Source organism: Homo sapiens, chromosome 2, assembly GCF_000001405.40.
Source record: "Homo sapiens chromosome 2, GRCh38.p14 Primary Assembly".
NCBI classification, from domain to species: Eukaryota; Metazoa; Chordata; class Mammalia; order Primates; family Hominidae; genus Homo; species Homo sapiens.
This window is the reverse complement of record NC_000002.12, coordinates 209697641-209715830: the sequence shown is the minus strand read 5'-3', so window position 1 is coordinate 209715830 and position 18190 is coordinate 209697641. Positions and strand designations below refer to the sequence as shown.

Genomic DNA, 18190 nt, shown 5'->3' with positions numbered 1-18190 from the left:
ACTTTCTATACTCAAAGATGTATGTGGCATCAGTCACACTGATGTACTTGCTGTTCCTAGAACATGTTAGGCCTGCTTCTACCTCAGGGTCTTTGGATGTGTGGTTCCCTTTGCCTGAAAGGCTCATTACCTAGTTATCCAAATGGCTTACTTCTTTACTTCCTTGGAGCTTCTATTCAAATATCACCTTCTCGGGACTTTCCTAGCCATCTTATCAGAAATGCAATTTCCTCTTAACATATCCTGAGCCTCTTTCTTATCTTTATTTTTCTCCATACTTAGCACTTTTTTACATATTTTTCTTATATCACTTTTTTTTTTGCTCACCTTTCCTCCTAGAATGTAAATTCCATGATGGCAAGAATTTAAGAAATCTATGTCTATTTTGTTTGTTGTTATATTTCAGTATGTAGAACATAGCATGGTGTAGTAGGTGCTCAATAAATATTTGTTGACTCAATGGTCAAGTAAAGAAAGGTAAAACTTTGTATTTCTGGAATTATCAAAGTAATAGGAGACAACTCCCCATGTTATTTTTAAGATGCCAAGATTGATGCTATAATATTTCATAATTGATTCTTTATATTATCCTTAGAAATTAAAAAGCTAACTAGCTTCTATTTTAAAACCTTAATTTTTAGAATTATTTAAAAAATAACTGTCAATTATAGGAGAAAACAAAAAATATGATAAAATGCAACATACCTTTCCAAATTTAATGTAGTATATTAATATAACATGTATTTTAATAGTGTATCAATATAACATGCTATTTGCATTAAATTATTTCATGAAAATATAATAAAAGTTTAGAAGCTTCAAATTTCAATCCTGACGTGGTAAAAAAAACTTTGGCATGGAAAACACTGCTAAATAAAATTACCATTTATTTTCATGTTATGAAATGAAAGGTAAGGCAAACAAAGAAGACTAAGGTATACAAAATTACATACTTGCAGATAAGTGACTAATTATTCATTAAAGACAAAGTATAGACTCTGACTTCACAGCTCAGCCATGGAAGGATGATATTTAATGTCCTATATGCAAGATGCAGGTAATGTGAGAACTTCTGTTTCTTACTCTGTGAAAATGTGAGGGTTGGATTAGAAGGAGATGGATATCTCTGACATCTAATATCCTTTAGTTTAATAGATCCATATAGAACTGAGATATAGAAACTAAGATTGCTTTATTTCTAGAATGTAATGATATGTTTTACAGGTTCTAGTTTAATAGATTTATCTAAATAAAAATTTTACAAAGATGACAGACCAATGCTGATTGGGAAAGCAATATGCTGACAAATTTTACAAAGTTCTTTATTTAAAAAGTGAGTACTGTTTTTTCTTCAAAAAGGAGTGACTTGCATGATGATGCCACCATCTGTAGCCTAGCTAACCTGAAAATGACTGACTGTAGTCATTAATGGAGCAAAAGCACATAATTCAGAGGCAATCAATCAGATCCACAGACATGGCCTTGCAGAGATTATGCTCTAACTGACTATCCTATCCAATGAGCAGTTAATGAAAACAACATCTGTGAAACCACTTCTTTAGTAACTTTCAATTATTACAAGCGCATATAACTTGTGCTTTTAAAATTTTATTTATTTATTTATTTATTGAGACAGAGTTTCATTCTTGTTGCCCAGGTTGGAGTGCAATGGCGTGGTCTTGGCTCACTGCAACCTCTGCCTCCTGGGTTCAAGCAATTCTCCTGCCTCAGCCTCCCAAGTAGCTGGGATTACTGGTGCCCACCACCACGCCTGGCTATTTTCTTTTTTTTTTGTACTTTTAGTAGGGACGGGGTTTCACCATGTTGGCCAGGCTGGTCTCGAACTCCTGACCTCAGGTGATCCACCCGCTGCCTTGGCCTCCCAAAGTGCTGGGATTACAGGCATGAGCCACCACACCTGGCCAACTTGTGCTTTTTATACTCATCTTCATAAAGCCAATGGAGAAAAACAAGATATCTGTCAAAACATATAGGAGCATTCCATATAAATCCAAGTAACTATTTTAAAACCTGATTATTAGATAGAAAAGGCAAAAAGCACTATTCCTTGAGTTGTTACCTAAATTTTTTTATGCTACGTGTTTAGAGAAATTGCTTGTTTCTCTACCTTTGTTTAACTGAAGCAGCTGTGTTCTTCAAAAGCTAACATTATTTATTCTAAAACTTAGATTTAATGTAGATTGAGAGGCTAGCTACATAGAGCAGTTTCAAATTAATACACTTAATAAGATAGTCTTCCCTATGCCTTGAGTTAAATCAATCAAGCTAATTATCTACACTGAATCTATGATTGCCCATATTCTTTCCAATAGAATGAATTTGTTTTAGCTGAAAAGATTAGCTTTATTGCCTTCTGTAAAGCTCCTTGTATCTTCAGCTAGCTTATCTATTCCATTAGGCATTGATGTGACTCACTGAGCTGAGCCCCTCTGCCAACAGAAATTGGACCTTAACAGAAGAGATAGCTGCTGTTAAGCACAAAACCTGTACATACAGAAGAGCAATTAATGTTCAAACTGCAGGCAAATAATTTGGAAAGCTGTTGAGTTCCTAAGATGCATATATCTTTATTATAGATTTCCTCTACCAATTTTTAGAGATTGCACAAATTTTAAAACCCCAATAATGAAGTTTTCACAATTAAATCATTTGTATACAACCTAATTGCTTCAAATTTTACCACAATAGACCCTGTGCAGAGGAATTAAAGTTACATCTTTAATTTTACTCCCATCTTCTTTAATAAGAATTACATGAATATTTTTCTGAATTCCTAGAGACCATATATCACTATTACAAAACCTGGCCCGTGAAGAAAGTATAGCTCTTGTTCTGTCTTTTTAAATGTTTCTGCGTTGGCCAACCCATTCAAGTGCCTTAGGAAAATCAATTTACAATTGAGAACAATGTGCTAGTGGCTTCAATTTCTTCAACGGTATGCATGTATAGATGCTCGATCATCTAATAAAGGTCTTTAACATGTCATTTTGATAATTTCTAAGAAGCCCTAAAATACTTTTCCTTCAGTCGTTCTATAAGATCTTCAGTTTTACAAGTATGGAAAAAACCTCTCCTCACTCCCTATATCTGAGATCACACACTGTAAGGAGGCTTTTAAGGGGAGAGTGCTGAAGTGTTGAATGATATGTTTTTCCTACAAAGACAGTTCAATTGCAATGCGCTATTATTTCCCAATTCATTTTACCCTTTAAGTGAATTTATACCATCTATCACAAAATAGAAGGCAAATATCTTTCATCTGTTTATCTTGGTGAGGAAATACCTCCTACTTCTGCAAAAAAGTTACCTCATAACTCCACTGTTGTGGATTTTTTCCAAAGTCATCATTGCTGAAGTAGGATAATTTTGTAGCAGGTTAACACTTGCCTGATGATAAAAACATATTTGCTTCAAATGACACTGTGATTTTGAAGCTATTTTTGTTCTTTCTGTAATTTTTGTGTCATATGTATTTACTAGTCCTTAACCACCATAATCTCTAAGGAAGTTTTAGTTCAGCTCAAAAGTATGAGATATTTTGTATCAATTTTATGAATTACCAAATATAGAAGTCAATTACAATAAGACATAAAAATACTCCAAACCAGATATGATAAAGAATCAGAAAAAGAAAACAGACGTCTTCACATTTTTTGGGTTGATTGAATCTTAGAGGTTCCTGCAAAGCTGGGGCTAAAACCATTCTTTTTGCCTTTCTTAAGGAGTCCTTCAAAGAAAATCATATATTATAAAATTTCTATGTCAACTTAAAATAATACTTTTCTCTTTTAATTACTTTTGTTAGTTTTAATACAATATCTTGGAGATAATTTGTATTTTCTTGTGATTCTAAGAGGAAACAAATTATTTTAAGTATTAATGTTTTCCAGAATATAATTAAGTAAACCCCATATCTAGTTGAGGAGAATAACAGGACATGGGAATATTTATTTTAAAAGAACTGATTTTTAAATATACATAATAGTTATTCTATTTTAGAGGATAGCTTGTCCAAGGCTAAAATGCAGAACTTTCCAAATGGTACTAAATTGATTTTATTCACCTTACACTTTTAAATTATTTATGTATAAATATAAAGATGATGCAACATTTGAATATTTCCAAAAAGCTCAAAATATTTCCTTCTCTTGCATGTGCAAAACTCTGATGAACGCAAGAATAGTTTGAGTTTTTTAGGAATTATAGGCTTATAATTCTACTTTTTGCTTAAAAATGTTTCTTGTAGCTTCTAGTTTTCATAGCATCTGTCTGTGAAAAAGTATCTTTCTATGACTCTATTATTATAGAATGTTATCATTGTTCTAAAAGGGCATATTGACCTCTCCCCTCCTGCCCCATTGGTTGATTTTTCTTAACTCTTTGGGCTTTCCCTTACAGAGCCATAAAGAGACAGCAAAGAAGTTTGTTGCTAAATGAAAGAGCAACACTGAATTGTTGCTTCATTGGTGAGTAGGAGTGCCTGATAGCTTTACATTTTGGCAAGATCTTTCTTCCTGAAAATAGATTTTCTTTGGCATGAAGGAGAGATACCAGAAAGCAGTGGCACAAAATACAAGAGACAAGAAAAAGAGTGGCAGAAAAAAATATTGACGTTAAAAAGGAAAGACTTTCTTGGAATACTGAAAGGGCATTATAAGTTCGTTTATGTACAAAGTTACTGTTTTTGTCCTTCTTTCTTTCAAAAAAGGATGTTGTTTTATATCTCTTCAATGACAAAAGTTAAACTATCCTGAATAGATCAATATTATGAGATAAACATTAAATAATATTTGTATTATTTCCTTCCAGGCTAATTGCTTTGTCCAAACATGTAGTGTATAAGCAAGGTTCAGGTCAAGACAGAACTCAAAACCCCCTGGTTTGAAAAGATATGAATGTTTGCTCTGGGGAGCTGAAGTTAAGAGTTAGTAAGTAAGCTTTACTAATAGCTCTATTTAATACAATTAATCTTGAATAGAAGTTCAAAGTCTACAATTTTATTCATCAGAACCATGTGTCTTTTATTATCAACACGAATACCTCCCCTTTGCAACATTTAGGCAATAGTAGCCAGAATTGAAACTCGGTGAAACATCCTTATTTTGGAGTAAACATGAGGAAATGGTAGAAAATGTCATAGGAAATCCTTGGGGAAGAAAGGAGATAAAATTGGAATCACTAAAAGATAGCCAAATGAGCTCATGGTCAGAAACTAAAATAGAAAACTCAATTTTATATCAGAAATATAACTTTAATCTCAAGTTAAAAAACACAAAGCAATAGAGATACATTCAGAAAAAAAAAAAGTTAGTCAATCAACTAAAAGTTGGTAAAAATTTTTACCCAGTAACAAACAGAAGGAATGGGCATGTCATGTGATTTTCGTTGTATTTCAGAGGCTATCTTCCTAATGTAAAGTCCAAACTCTTAGCAATAAATTGTAACCAAGCTCTTTAACACCTCTGCTTCCCTTTTAAGAACTGTTAGTTTTCAATATGAAGAAGGCAATGTAATAATTATTTCTGGCAGCAAATATGTGTTCATGCAATTCTTACCTGCCCCCCTTTAGGCTGGTATTTGATGTTGTCTGTTGATCCGATTTTGGATTTGACATTCTTCAGGTCTGGCAGTGGTTGGTTAATAAGCCGAAGCTGCTTGGGAGTCGCAGGAGATTTTGGAGGAGTACGTATGATGGCGACCTTCTTCTCACTCGGCACCAAGATGGCAGACTTGGGGGTTCCTGGTGTGTGAGGGGTCCTGGGATAGCTAGGGGTTCCAGGAGTGCCTGGTGTGCGTGAAGAATAACTTGGTGGGGTGCCAGGAGTGATGGCAGTAGACCCAGGGGTAGTGGGTGTTGAGGTACCACTCTTCCCTGCTCTGCGAATTGGCTCTGACCCTGTATTAACAAGCAAGACCAAAACCAAACCAGAGTCAGACAATTCTCCTCAAAACATCCCTCTTCCCATAGATTGTTAGAAGTCATAATACGTTTAATTTCTAAGGTATTTAGAAACAGTTATCACTATAGTACTCAAGAAGCTGAGAGTCTCGTTTCTGAAATCAGGTGCATAACCCGGTGGCATTCTTTTGAACATGCATTGCTATCAACACAAAGAAAAAAACCTGATTTTTTTTTTCTGATTTGTTCTCCGTAATTTTCATTATGAATGTGTCAAAAACTATTTTCTACTTGTGTGACTATTAAGGCAAATGGATCTGCCTTTAGTTGGAAAGAGTTTACACTTAGTGTCGTATGCAGACCCATATTTACTGAAGATTCCTTGAATGATATGTAGATCATTCATTCCTCTATGTAGTAAATTCATTCTGGGATCCAGGTGAACATACAATATAGAACCATGTATTTAGGACACATAGTTTTGGCCTGTATAGAAAGATCTGCATTTCAATATTATATCCTTATACTGAGGAACACTATGAGGTGTAAATGTGTTTATGGAAGCTGTCAGACACTGCTATACTATATCATGTATTCTTTTCATAAGGAAAATTATCTCAGTGCTTCAAACCAAAAAAAAAGTCTGTTTCTTGCCTTAGAAACTTGGGATGTCTCAACAATATATTCCCAGTGAGCCTCGTACCTGATTGTGTTTTCTCCTCTGTTTTCATCACTAGCTTGGCAGTTTAGAGTTAAATCCAAAACCACATTAATTATACAGGATCTGAGATGCATTTCTTTGCCTCAAGTTGAGCTCAGCCTCATATTATTATTATTCCCACCCCCCACTTTCCTATACTATGTTTCTTTCATCTTTTGAATGTGCTTTGAATGACATTTCAAATACTTTCCTGAAAGAATGATAGAAATAAGAATGCAACACCTTATAAATTTCAAAGCACTTATGTGAATACCAACCAACTGATAACCAAACAAACATGCACAATACAGTTGTTAGGGGCAGCTCTTATTATTCCTAAGAAATGAGAACATTGAGGCTCATTCACCCAGATGCTACTAACGTCTAAGCCAGATACAATATTTAGCCCCTGAGGATTTACATTTTTAAGCATGCAAATTTCATTTATAACATATTTTATAGAAAAGGGATAATTTTCATTTTTTACTGCTGCTTAAGTAAAAAAATCAATGAATCTTCTGAAATTTTGTAGAGAATAAATATATAACAATTTTAAAGCCACTGAAGTGAAAGGAATCTCAGAGGTCACCTAATGCAATTGATCATAAATATAGGAAGTTCTTTCTGAGAAGTGGACATGTAATCTTTGCTTAAATATTTACAAGATGTGAGCTCAGGAGAGCTTCTTGGACAATTGTAATCTATGGAAAATGTAAATCCACCCATCACCATAGGTTCTATCTCCTGGAGAAACACAGAAGAATTTTACTTCTTTCAGTGAACAGTTTTCAAGTATCAAATGAAAGTGCCCTGTGTCTTTTTGGTCTTCTAACACAGGGCACAAGATAGTTAGACTCTTCAATTGATAATATGAAATGGGATATGAGAAGTCTAAAGTGAGAAATTAGCATGTGTTCTGTGATTTTTATTGCTTTTCACAAGAATTTCAAGACTAGGATGACACAACCACATCCAACTTGGCATTTTGTAACTTCCATGTCCTGGTTTGTTATGGACTAAGTTTGTAACGTAGATGTCTGTCTCTATGTCTGTCTGAATACTTTCTCCAGAAACATTATTTCTTTCTTGAATGTTTTCTCTATTACTTCACCAGTTTTGAATAGCTCAGATATTCTGGGGAGAGGGATCATCCCTGTATTTTTTGCCATTGTACCTAGCCCTGGTGACTTTCATGTGAGCTGAAAACAGTAGGTAGACAACATATTTTTTTAATAATTCAGAATTCATCAAAGTGTGCTGAGGGGTTTTTTGACTTCATGGAGACTGAATTGAAGCAATATTCTGGATGTGAATAACAATTTTTACTATATGAAATAATTTTTTCTAAACTTCTAAGGAGTCATTTCCATACTTGTAGAAAACACGTTAAGCTTTATAAAAGAAGGTTTTATGTTACATCTGGAGAAAGAAGATAAACTACAAATATTAAGGCCTTCACACTGCTGTTCAATATATATGACCAATTTTTATTGTAATAAATATGTTCTTGTCATCAAAACAATAAATTTGAATGTTTCTTATTTGTTCTGAACTTGAAGAGGTTAAGCCTAAGATCTAAAACAACTTTTAAGATATTTCTTTACAAGTTAATTGATTAAACTGTGCTTTTATTTATCTTGTCAACTCCTCAATGACAATGGATTTCCTTCCTCTTGGGCGGATGAGCTTCCTGCACAACATTGTTTCCTTCAAATCTTTTCAATAGCTGCACAAAATGTTAGAACATCCCTGTGTACCATTAAGGGGATGGTGCACAAGTAGAAGTGGGCAGAGTGCTTGCTTTTCCAATCGTCTTTATGCCTTTCAGCTATTGGTATGCAGAGGTAAAACAGATCCTATGTTTTAAAATTATCAATGTGTTAGTTATGTTCACTATCAAATAATACAATGCAAAATGCCTGTAAACATCAGTAAATTTAAAAAGTCAAAATAGAATTGGTGCTGAACATTTAATGAATCAATTCATATATAGATACACTTTAAAAGGCAGAACACAGTGGTTTGAAGAAGTGGATTTATGGAGAAAGTGCCATTTTGCTTTTATAGCAACAAATACAAGTATAATTCAAGATGTTCCTTTCGAGAGTACTTGGTATCTTTGTCTTGTCTCATACATCCTTGGGGTTATTAATTATGTTCAATTTCAACTCTAGAGATTTAAAGTCTCTTCCCTGGAGAGTACTAAATCTTAAATGACCTTCCTGCTAATTCATTCAAATAATTTATTTTTGCTATGATAAAAGAGTTTTTGTGATTTCAGTGTTCTTAACACATATTTCAAAGGATGCTAATACTCTAGGAAACTAAATAATGTTGGACACAATTACTGTTATTATAATAAACACTTTTCTTGTAGGCAAAAACACTGTTTAAATGCCAATAGTCATATTTAAGTGGGCCAATTATTATCAAAATAAGTGTTGAAGTCAACTATAATGTGATAGTGGTAGCAATTTCCACCATTTTAAAATGGTTCTTAAATGACACAGATACTCTTCTCCAAATAATTCTACAGAGCAGTTCTCTAGTACTATTTCCTCCCAATAAATGTAGAAAAGACATTAAGACTTCAGGTTGTGAAGTTATCAGTAGGCTGAAAACCAAATTCAACCACTTGCGAACTGTGAAGCAGTTACCCTCTCTAGAGGGTAACTGGACAAGTTACCCTCTCTAGAGGGTCAGTTTTCTCATCAGTAGAATGAATTGAGTTTATTAATTATTATAATAGTCATTAGTCTTGCTAATTAAATTAGTGAAAAAATGTATCTTAAGAGTTTAGTATCTATATGTGCTCAATAAACGGTAGCTATTTTGGTTGCAACAGAAAAATATTTACGGAAGTAATTTGAATCCATGCTTTACTAGATAGTTTGCCACAATGCAACATATAAGTGTGTAATGATTGGAGCATTATATAAACTGTTACAATTGCCAATCAGTTCATGAATGGGCCATCAATCAAGATAATTTGAACCTATTGCATAGACTATGCTATATTTATAGCTCATTTGGAATGCAAATTCTTAAGAAGTTGAACAGGATCCTAAGTTTTGAATGTCGACTTTCTAGTTAGATTTTACAACTTGGAAATCTAATAAGTGTTAAGCTTTTATAGATGTATGTTTTTAAAATCCTTGACTTGGTTTCTACATTGATTACTTCTTTAGAATTTTCTTTTCTGCTCTAAATTTGAAGCAAAAAGAAAAATATATTCTTAGAGAAATAACTTTATATCAGTCTTAGATAATAGGGTAATATGTTACCATTTCCTCCATCAGTTGTTTTTACTCAAACAGCTATTTTGCAGCCATCTACATTCTGGATTTTCTGATCCTTATGGCAAATATAATCTAGTCTTAATGCATGTTTTATTTTTACAAATTAAAATATAAATATAAGTGCTATTCCACTTAAAGGATTTAAAAAGTGCTTAAAAAGGAATTCAAATCAAAATAAACCTACTGGTGGTCCGCCGTGCTGAAGAAGAGATAGAACTGTTGAGAGAGAAGGAATTCTCATCTCTGTCTCCTGACACACCTCGCCGAGGAGGGAGAATGGAGGAAGGTCTTGGGAGAGAAGAGCGCTTTTCTGGGCTCTTGGTTACTCCGTCCTGATTGGAGAAAACAAAAAGAACATTGGGTTCTTGTAACTCTTTAATTTATACGAAGTGATATTGATTTTGCTATTTTCCTCCTGTGCTAATAAATGAATTTCTTTTAATACAAACTACTGGATTTCATATATTTATAAACATTTCTACTTTATAACTTAGAAAGAGTGCATATTTGCCTAGATGTTTTGTAAAAATACATTATTTTGGAGTTCTAATAACTGAGTGTGAAGTTCAAGTTCTAAATGATAATATTGGTAAAATAAATGTACTCAATCTTCAGCAAATTACTAATTTTATTGAAAAATCTTCATTAGCATGATAATTTATTAATCAGAAAGGACTGAGAGTAGCTCACTGCATGCATAATATTTCTAACAATGACCATTACCATATCTTGTGCGTGTATGTGACAGGAACCCTTTATAGTTTATATCCTTTTATGATTTGATTCTCACCACAAAACATGATACACATTTTAAAGCTGAAGAAACAAGTTTAATGAGTTTATATAATTGTTTCAAGACAATTGAGTTGGTAGGTGTCAGAGATAGTATTAAACCCTGATGTATATGACGTTTAGTTTAAATTATCTATTATATTCTATACAATGTAATTTGTTATTATTGTACTGTACAATATTATTTCTTATATATTATATATAATAGAATATATTTTGTTTTGTTAGTTTGCATTTGATATTTTACCAGATAATCAAACCATAAATTAATAATGGGTAGCATATCTAGAAAAAGACATATTTTCTACATTTAAAAAATAGGTATACTGTTTATCAAAATTTTAAATTTGTATTTGTTTTTAAAAGGGCCTACTGTTTATGTGTCAAACACTTCAGAGTAAAGTATTTGCTTTCATACATTTCCTGAATTAGGTTCTATAACATAACCTTCTCCCAAATTCTATTTCTTTCTGCACCTTTTATTGACCTGCCGCCTTACCTTGTTCCCTGATTTTGAGTATGGCAAACGGTCTGTGGAGCCTGCTGAGGTGGGCTGTATTAATAAACTGTCAGAAAATGTAGCCCTTTTAGTCGTGCTAGGGCAGGCTGAGCTGTATCTTGGGGACTTTGTGCTACCCTGTAAAGCAGGAATCTTTGACAAGGTAGAATTCTAGCCATGAAAGAAAACAAACAAAAGCACAAAATAAACCAAACTATAAAGTAAAAGGAAGATAAAAAAGAAGTATAAACATATAAGAAACTCAAAGTCTTTTTAATAAGAACACATGATAAATGGTTATAATCAATGATAGAGATGTGTACTTAGATGAGAAGAGATTTTCACAGTTCTTTTTAGCCAAAACTAACTTAATAATAGTCATAGAAAAATGTCTAAGAAAACCAAATATCACATGTTCTCATTTATAAGTGGGAGCTAAACAATGGGTACACACGGACATAAAGATGGCAACAATAGACACTGGTGACTCCAAAAGTGGGGGAAGGATTGAAAAACTTCCTATTGGGAAGTTCCTATTGGGAACTATGTTCACTATTTGGATGATGGAATCAATATAAGCTCAAACCTCAGCATCACGTAATATACCCTTGTAACAAGCCTGCACATGGACACCCTGATTAAAAATAAAATAAAAAATCTGTTATACAAATAAAACACAAAAATAATGCTAAACCATTTTATTTTCTATTAACCAGGTCTAGAACAGGTATCCATGTTTATTACTTATTACTTGCTCTTCTTTACTTCCAAATGTGATTGTTTATGTTTGGTACGCAGTAGAGAACCAGCGGATAATTGCTGAATAAATGATGAGTGGGTGGATAGATAGAAGGACAGAAGAAAGAGTAATATTGCTTAGATATGAAGGAATTAGCTTTGTGAAATCCTGAGACCAAAGCAAGTCTCTCTTTCTCTTTAAAAATACAATAAGCCTTAATATAGAAAGAATGTTACAAGTGACTAGCAAAACTCTCTTTTTGCAGGTTTAAAAAATAATGCTGAGTGCTTAAATTTTGTTGTTTAAAAAATGATTCTATACATAGTTCTCTAATTTAAGGATAATGTATATAAAATATTCTTTTTGGATTCTACGTATATAGTCTCTAATTAATTCATAAGTTTTATAATGATAACACATTTGGAAATATCTTTCAATATCCTATCTGCTGGAATTATTCCTTTAATAAACACAGCCTTTAAGGTGTACATATAATCCATATCTTAATCATGTTTCAAGAACTTTGGAACAAGGTATATTTGAAGCCTAATAATGAAAAAAGTATTTTTAAAGATTGAGAAAATTTATTTTCACGTCATCTACATTGACTTCAACAGAATTTTTCAGAGTTTATATATAATTTGTTCATTTTATAAGTGAAACACATACTGTGGATTAAGTTATACCATAGAACTAATAACATTTTTATGCAAAGACTAGAGTCTGCATGATGTGTTATGAATTCTAAAAAGGAAAGTCAGGACTGAAAAGATGGCCAATAAAAATCACGACTTAATTTACAGGTGTTGATAACTCCTGGGGAGACTGTCTGCAAGTATAATTGGGAAGGATGTATGGCTTTTGGAGAAAGCTATGCCAGCGTGCCATATGTCTCATGGGTGACTGTTAAAAATATAGATAAGTATGACAAAGCCAAGGAGATTATTATCTTCAAATAATTAATTTGATTTAACTGTTACAGAAATGACAGATAAAACTGAGATTTTTATCTCAAGTTTTAACCTCTGTGGCTACAACAGGACATAAGTATTTACAGACTGTACAAATCACTTCTTGTTTTATAGACCCAGTATCTTGAGTGGGAAGTGTAATTGGGTCAGCACAAGTCATTCTTTTTTTATTGATCCTACCCACAAAAGAGTGAATTTCAAAAGCGTGATATAGAAGAGAAAAATAAATTGGATTGCTTGTAGTTAAGAAAGACAACTATTAATGCTAAACAAACAAACAACAGAAAAACCCACGTGAAATGCAGGATTATGGGTGGGTCTGTTTCCTAATAAAGAGCAATTTAAAAAATCATCACAGGCATCCCATAAATATATACAACTAATATGTACCCATAGAAAAAAAATTTTTAAGTTAAAAAAAGTGAATCTGAAAGAGCATACAACTACCAAAAAAAATCAGAGAACAGTACTGATGGATATACTGAACATTAGAGCTAAATCAAATAAAAGTTACTCGGGGTTTTAGAAAACTTATAGAACAAGGATATGGGATTAGGAAGAAAAAAAGACTAATAAATGAGAAAAAAAGAAAGAATGAAGGGCTAATTTTGCTTCAGAAAGACAAGACGGGCATTTACAAGGAAAAAAGGTTGTTTTGTGTCAGACGATGCCTATGGTTCTGTTCCAAGTGCTGATTCTATCGAGTTACTCAAAGACCAAGGGGCTTAAAAATTTCCTAAAAATGTTCCAAATAATGTCAACCTAAAGGAGGAAAGGTCAGACTTATTTTCTATATCTGCTCCTGAAAACTTCCACCATTCAGTTAACTAAAATAATAACTAACAACTATTACCATTTATTAAATGAATGCTATGTTCTAAACATTATACTGCATACTGTTTTATAACATCATTACATTTAATTTTTATAACTAACTCATGAGACAGGAATTTTGTCCTCCCCTTTATTTTTAGAAAATTAAGAAATAGGAAGAAAAGGATCATATAACTAATAGATGTTCAAGATTTGAACATGATTTGTTTCATAGCCCTACGGCCAACCACCATACATCATTAATTTGGAAACAGAAGGTAAAGAGATACAAATCTTGAAATCACAATGTGTTTATAATAAAGCCTAATATTCACCAAAGCAATAAATGAATTCTGTTGCTTGCCATATGTTCAGGAATATATCTGAAACATTTGTATAAAAATCAAGTATCATCTTTTATCAACATAAAACCCCTCAGGTTCAAGATCAAAGAAATGAATCACTCACTACTTTTCATAATAAATAAAAGTGGAAGTCTAAAATCTTATTGGTTTTTTAGAAGGGTAAGCTAAGAATTGTGATTTACATATTACATGTGTTTGCTCAGTCTCAGAATGTTGTTATAAGCTACTAATTAATATCATTCAAATTATTTGTTATAATTTTAGGATTTCATTAGTAGCCTTTTAATTTTTTTCTTTCAATCATAAAGGAGTGAAAATACTTCATGTTGGCTTTGGTCATTAAAATACAGTTAATAATATAAAAATAAAATTCACAGAAAAAATAGAAAAGATTTACAAACATATGAAGAAGTTAAACACCATTAATACAACCAAAATAAAATTTTAAAATAATAATATATGCCATCTCTATAATTTGGCAAATATACAACAACAATATAAAATATGTAGTAATAATAACAAATATGAACACTCTCCTTATACAGAATGTATAAGTGGGTAGAACCTTTCCAGAGGGCAATTTGACAATATGCAGCAAAAACTTTAAATATTAACATTTTTCTTGAAACAATAATTTCACTAGTAGAAAATGAAGGAAATAGCATACAAACTGAACTTAGCCAAAAAGTTCTCTACAGTAATATTGTTAAAATACCAACAAAAAATTCTAAAAGTCAAATAATAGGAAATTGATTAAGTATATCATTGCAAAGAAATAAAATGCAGTATTACGTAGTCATTAAAACTTACAAAATGTTCAACGACATGGAAGTACATTTACTGTTGAATTTAAAAAGTGATACACAGTGTTCTCATTTTTGTTGTTAAGCCTATAAATGTATAGAAAAAAATTAGGATTTTACATCAAAATGATAGCTGTGTTTATCTTTATGATAAGAGGATTATAATTGATTTCTACTTCTTTCTGCTTGTGTGCAGTGCTTCATTTGGTCATATTTCTATTTTGTAACAAAAACAATGAAAGTGTATTATAAAATACAGTTACTGTTGATTATATGGTTTAATTTGATTCTATGAAAAGTAACTAAACTGGACTTCCTTACTTTTGCCATATCATTGTGCTGCTTTCTATGTTTTTGTCTTACTAGTAAGGAAGCAGTCCAGCTGTGCCCTCACCAATTACCATCATACGCCATCCCAGAAGACGTTCATCCTTCCATGCCTGGATGCCACGGAGAATCTTCTGGGTGAGCGAACTATTTAAAGTGACTTTTAAGAGTAAATATCTAAACAATATCAAAAGTTATTCTGATGTTACAGCTAATACCAAAGGAACTTCAAATGAAGAACAAGGAAAAACTTATTTTACTCACAGAGACTTTGTCCTTTGCCTGTTTAAATACACTGGGAGCCAGAGCTGATTCCCCACCTGCTGCTGTTGAAAATAAAAGACAAACAACCCCAAACTTAGTTGCTAAAAAGTCATAAATGCAGTTTTAAATACCTGTAGGATATTCTGTTGTGTCAACAGACTAATGCAAAGCAAAAGTTTGCTTATTATGAGACTCAAATTCAATAACTCAAGTAACATGAATAACAATAACATAGCATGTGGCTCCAACAAATAGTGTGTGCTAATTAATATAACCCATTGTCTACCAAAGTGCAGGTAAGCACACCACGTAATTTTTCTATTGATTACCAATGTATCTTTGAATCACTAGTACGTAAGGAGATCCTTTAGAACAGAAGTTACAGAATAGCAATGTGAATGTTGCAAAATTTAAGAAAAAGAACACTGATTGGTTTCTGGGGTTCACATGATATATAGAAGAGGGTTCATAGAGATTTCCAAACCCTCTTCTTGTTCTGGAAGCCACTGGCATAACCATAGATATTTCGGTATTTTACATTTCAAACTGTCATGATCAGCTAACCCCTTTCCCTTTGTATCCCTTCATTTCACAATATGAATGACATACTTGTTTGATGTGAAAATGCCACATGAGAAGGGAAGAAAAATAGCTTGTCAAGAACAGAAAACACGAGAGAAAATTTAAGTTCAGTAAATACAGAACATGTTCTACACATGCACTTCCTGTATGAAATTATTACCACATCTGTTACTGTTGTTTCTCTTGCTGCTGTTTTATGCTTCTGGATTCAATTTTAAACTCCATTATCTCTAGCACATTTTGGTTGATGACTTACCTGAGGTAGCTTAGCTCTCATGATTTAAAACAATCCCTTGTGGTTTGGAAAACCATCTATGTTTGAAAATTGGGCTTAGAAGATAAAATAATCAAGCTTGTGTGTTTATTCCTCCTTAATTTTCATTCATAAAATAGAAACCCTCAGAAAAAAAATGTATCCTTATAAGCCCTCTGAATAAGTTCTAAAAAGGTATTTTTATGACAGGTACAGTTCTGACACAAACATAATAACTGTCTACAATATGCTTTATGCCATGTAGGACTAGCTAGTGAGATTTTTCAGATTCTAGGACTCATTGTTTTTAAGGAAGCAGTGAAAACGATGCCTTACTACTATCTCTGTAATATAACTCAAATTCTTGTGACATGTATAGCTTGCTTCAAACCAATGACACCTACATCTGATACATGCTTTCTCCTAAAGTATCTTAACATTAGACCAGAATAAAGGAAAATCTTCATTAGTTCAAAGATTTTAAATTTCTTTCAAAGAATGAATAAAAACACAATTTACTTTAAATGTGGCAAATTGAATACCAATGACATGTAAACACTTTACTAAACCATTTTACGTTTTCTCTAAAATTCCACAATCCTGATGACATCTTTCATCCTTTTAGGTAGGTTATAGAGTTTTTATGCTAAATCAAGAGATTCTGCTTGCCCAAGCAATTTTGCTACTAAGTTTAATGAAGCTATTAATTTGCTATTAAGTTTAATGAAGTTCTAAGTTTAATGAAGCTAAAAACCTGAGAAAATGAATTGAGGTATGTCACGTTAATTCCTAACTCCTAGCTTCAGATATATTCTTCATCCTGAAGCTTTATCAAGGTGTGCGTATATACAAGCCTTCTATTTTCAAATCCTGCCTTAGATTCTTGTTTTTGAAGGAAAGCACATGATATGATTTCTAGATGAAGAACACAAATACAAAATACTTGGAATTTTCAATGGCTAAAATAAAACCATCAGTTACCTTGATTTTCTCTTTCTCACAAAGGCTAATGTTCCTCTTAACCTTTAAAACCATCCGAAGATTTATATAGAGGCATTGATGATGTACAATGGAAAGAAAAACATTCTTTTCTGATTTAGCAATCTGTCATTTTGTAGACTACAAGCATGCCACTTAATAAATGCTAAAATAAAATATAGTGTAAGGTAAGATTATCCTAGTATAATTAAACATATAAAATAAATACTTTGCCCTGAAATTTAGAAAAAAGTTGGCATTACAGATATTTGTAGGGGTTTTTATGATGGTTTCCAACAAGTTTCATTCCTTTGTTTTACCAGTTTTATAAACTTAGGAAAAAATATGTATTTGAAGAAGAGTAATAAGTAGATAGCAGGCCGGGTGCAGTGGCTCATGCCTGTAATCCCAGCACTTTGGGAGGCTGAGGCAGGTGGATCACGAGGTCAGGAGTTCAAAACCAGCCTGGCCAAGATGGTGAAACCCCGTCTCTACTAAAAATACAAAAAAAAAAAAAATTAGCTGGGTGCACGCCTGTAATCCCAGCTACTCCGGAGGCTGAGGCAGAAGAACTGCTTGAACCCAGGAGGTGGAGGTTTCAGTGAGCCGAGGTCGTGCCACTGCACTCCAGCCTGGGCGACAGAGCGAGATTCCGTCTTGGGAAACAAAAAAAAAGTAGACAGCAAAGTAAAAATAAACCGAAGTTTATTTCTAACTGAAGTTCCTCCTAAAAGGAAGAGTTTTAGCTTCAAATTTGTGAAACTAAATTATATAGAAAAGTCGAGCAGTTTGGATCCAACATATTTAAGAAATCTCCATGACAAAATGTCAGCTAAGAGATGTAGTTCAGTAGAGTGAAAATCTTGTTAATTTTGGATATGAGGA

General features: G+C 32.7%; 1 protein-coding gene across 90 annotated transcripts in view; it reads right to left on the bottom strand.

The window, feature by feature from the left end:
* Positions 1-18190, bottom strand: part of MAP2 (microtubule associated protein 2) — a 310066-nt gene that overhangs the window by 18282 nt on the left and 273594 nt on the right. For 55 of the 90 annotated variants that reach the window (NR_164697.1, NR_164695.1, NR_164696.1 and 52 more), the window contains 3 exons: positions 15493-15554; positions 10104-10251; positions 5577-5917 (listed from right to left, as the gene is read on the bottom strand). Coding sequence is in view for 84 of the 90 variants with exons in the window: in NM_001375493.1 (NP_001362422.1) it covers positions 5577-5917; positions 10104-10251; positions 15493-15554 (551 nt within the window). In the remaining 6 variants the exon portion in view is untranslated. Of the gene's footprint in view, positions 1-5016; positions 5168-5251; positions 5918-10103; positions 10252-11210; positions 11382-15492; positions 15555-18190 lie in introns of those variants that run through there. The other 35 variants (NR_164698.1, NM_001375504.1, NM_001437615.1 and 32 more) reach the window with 7 other exon arrangements.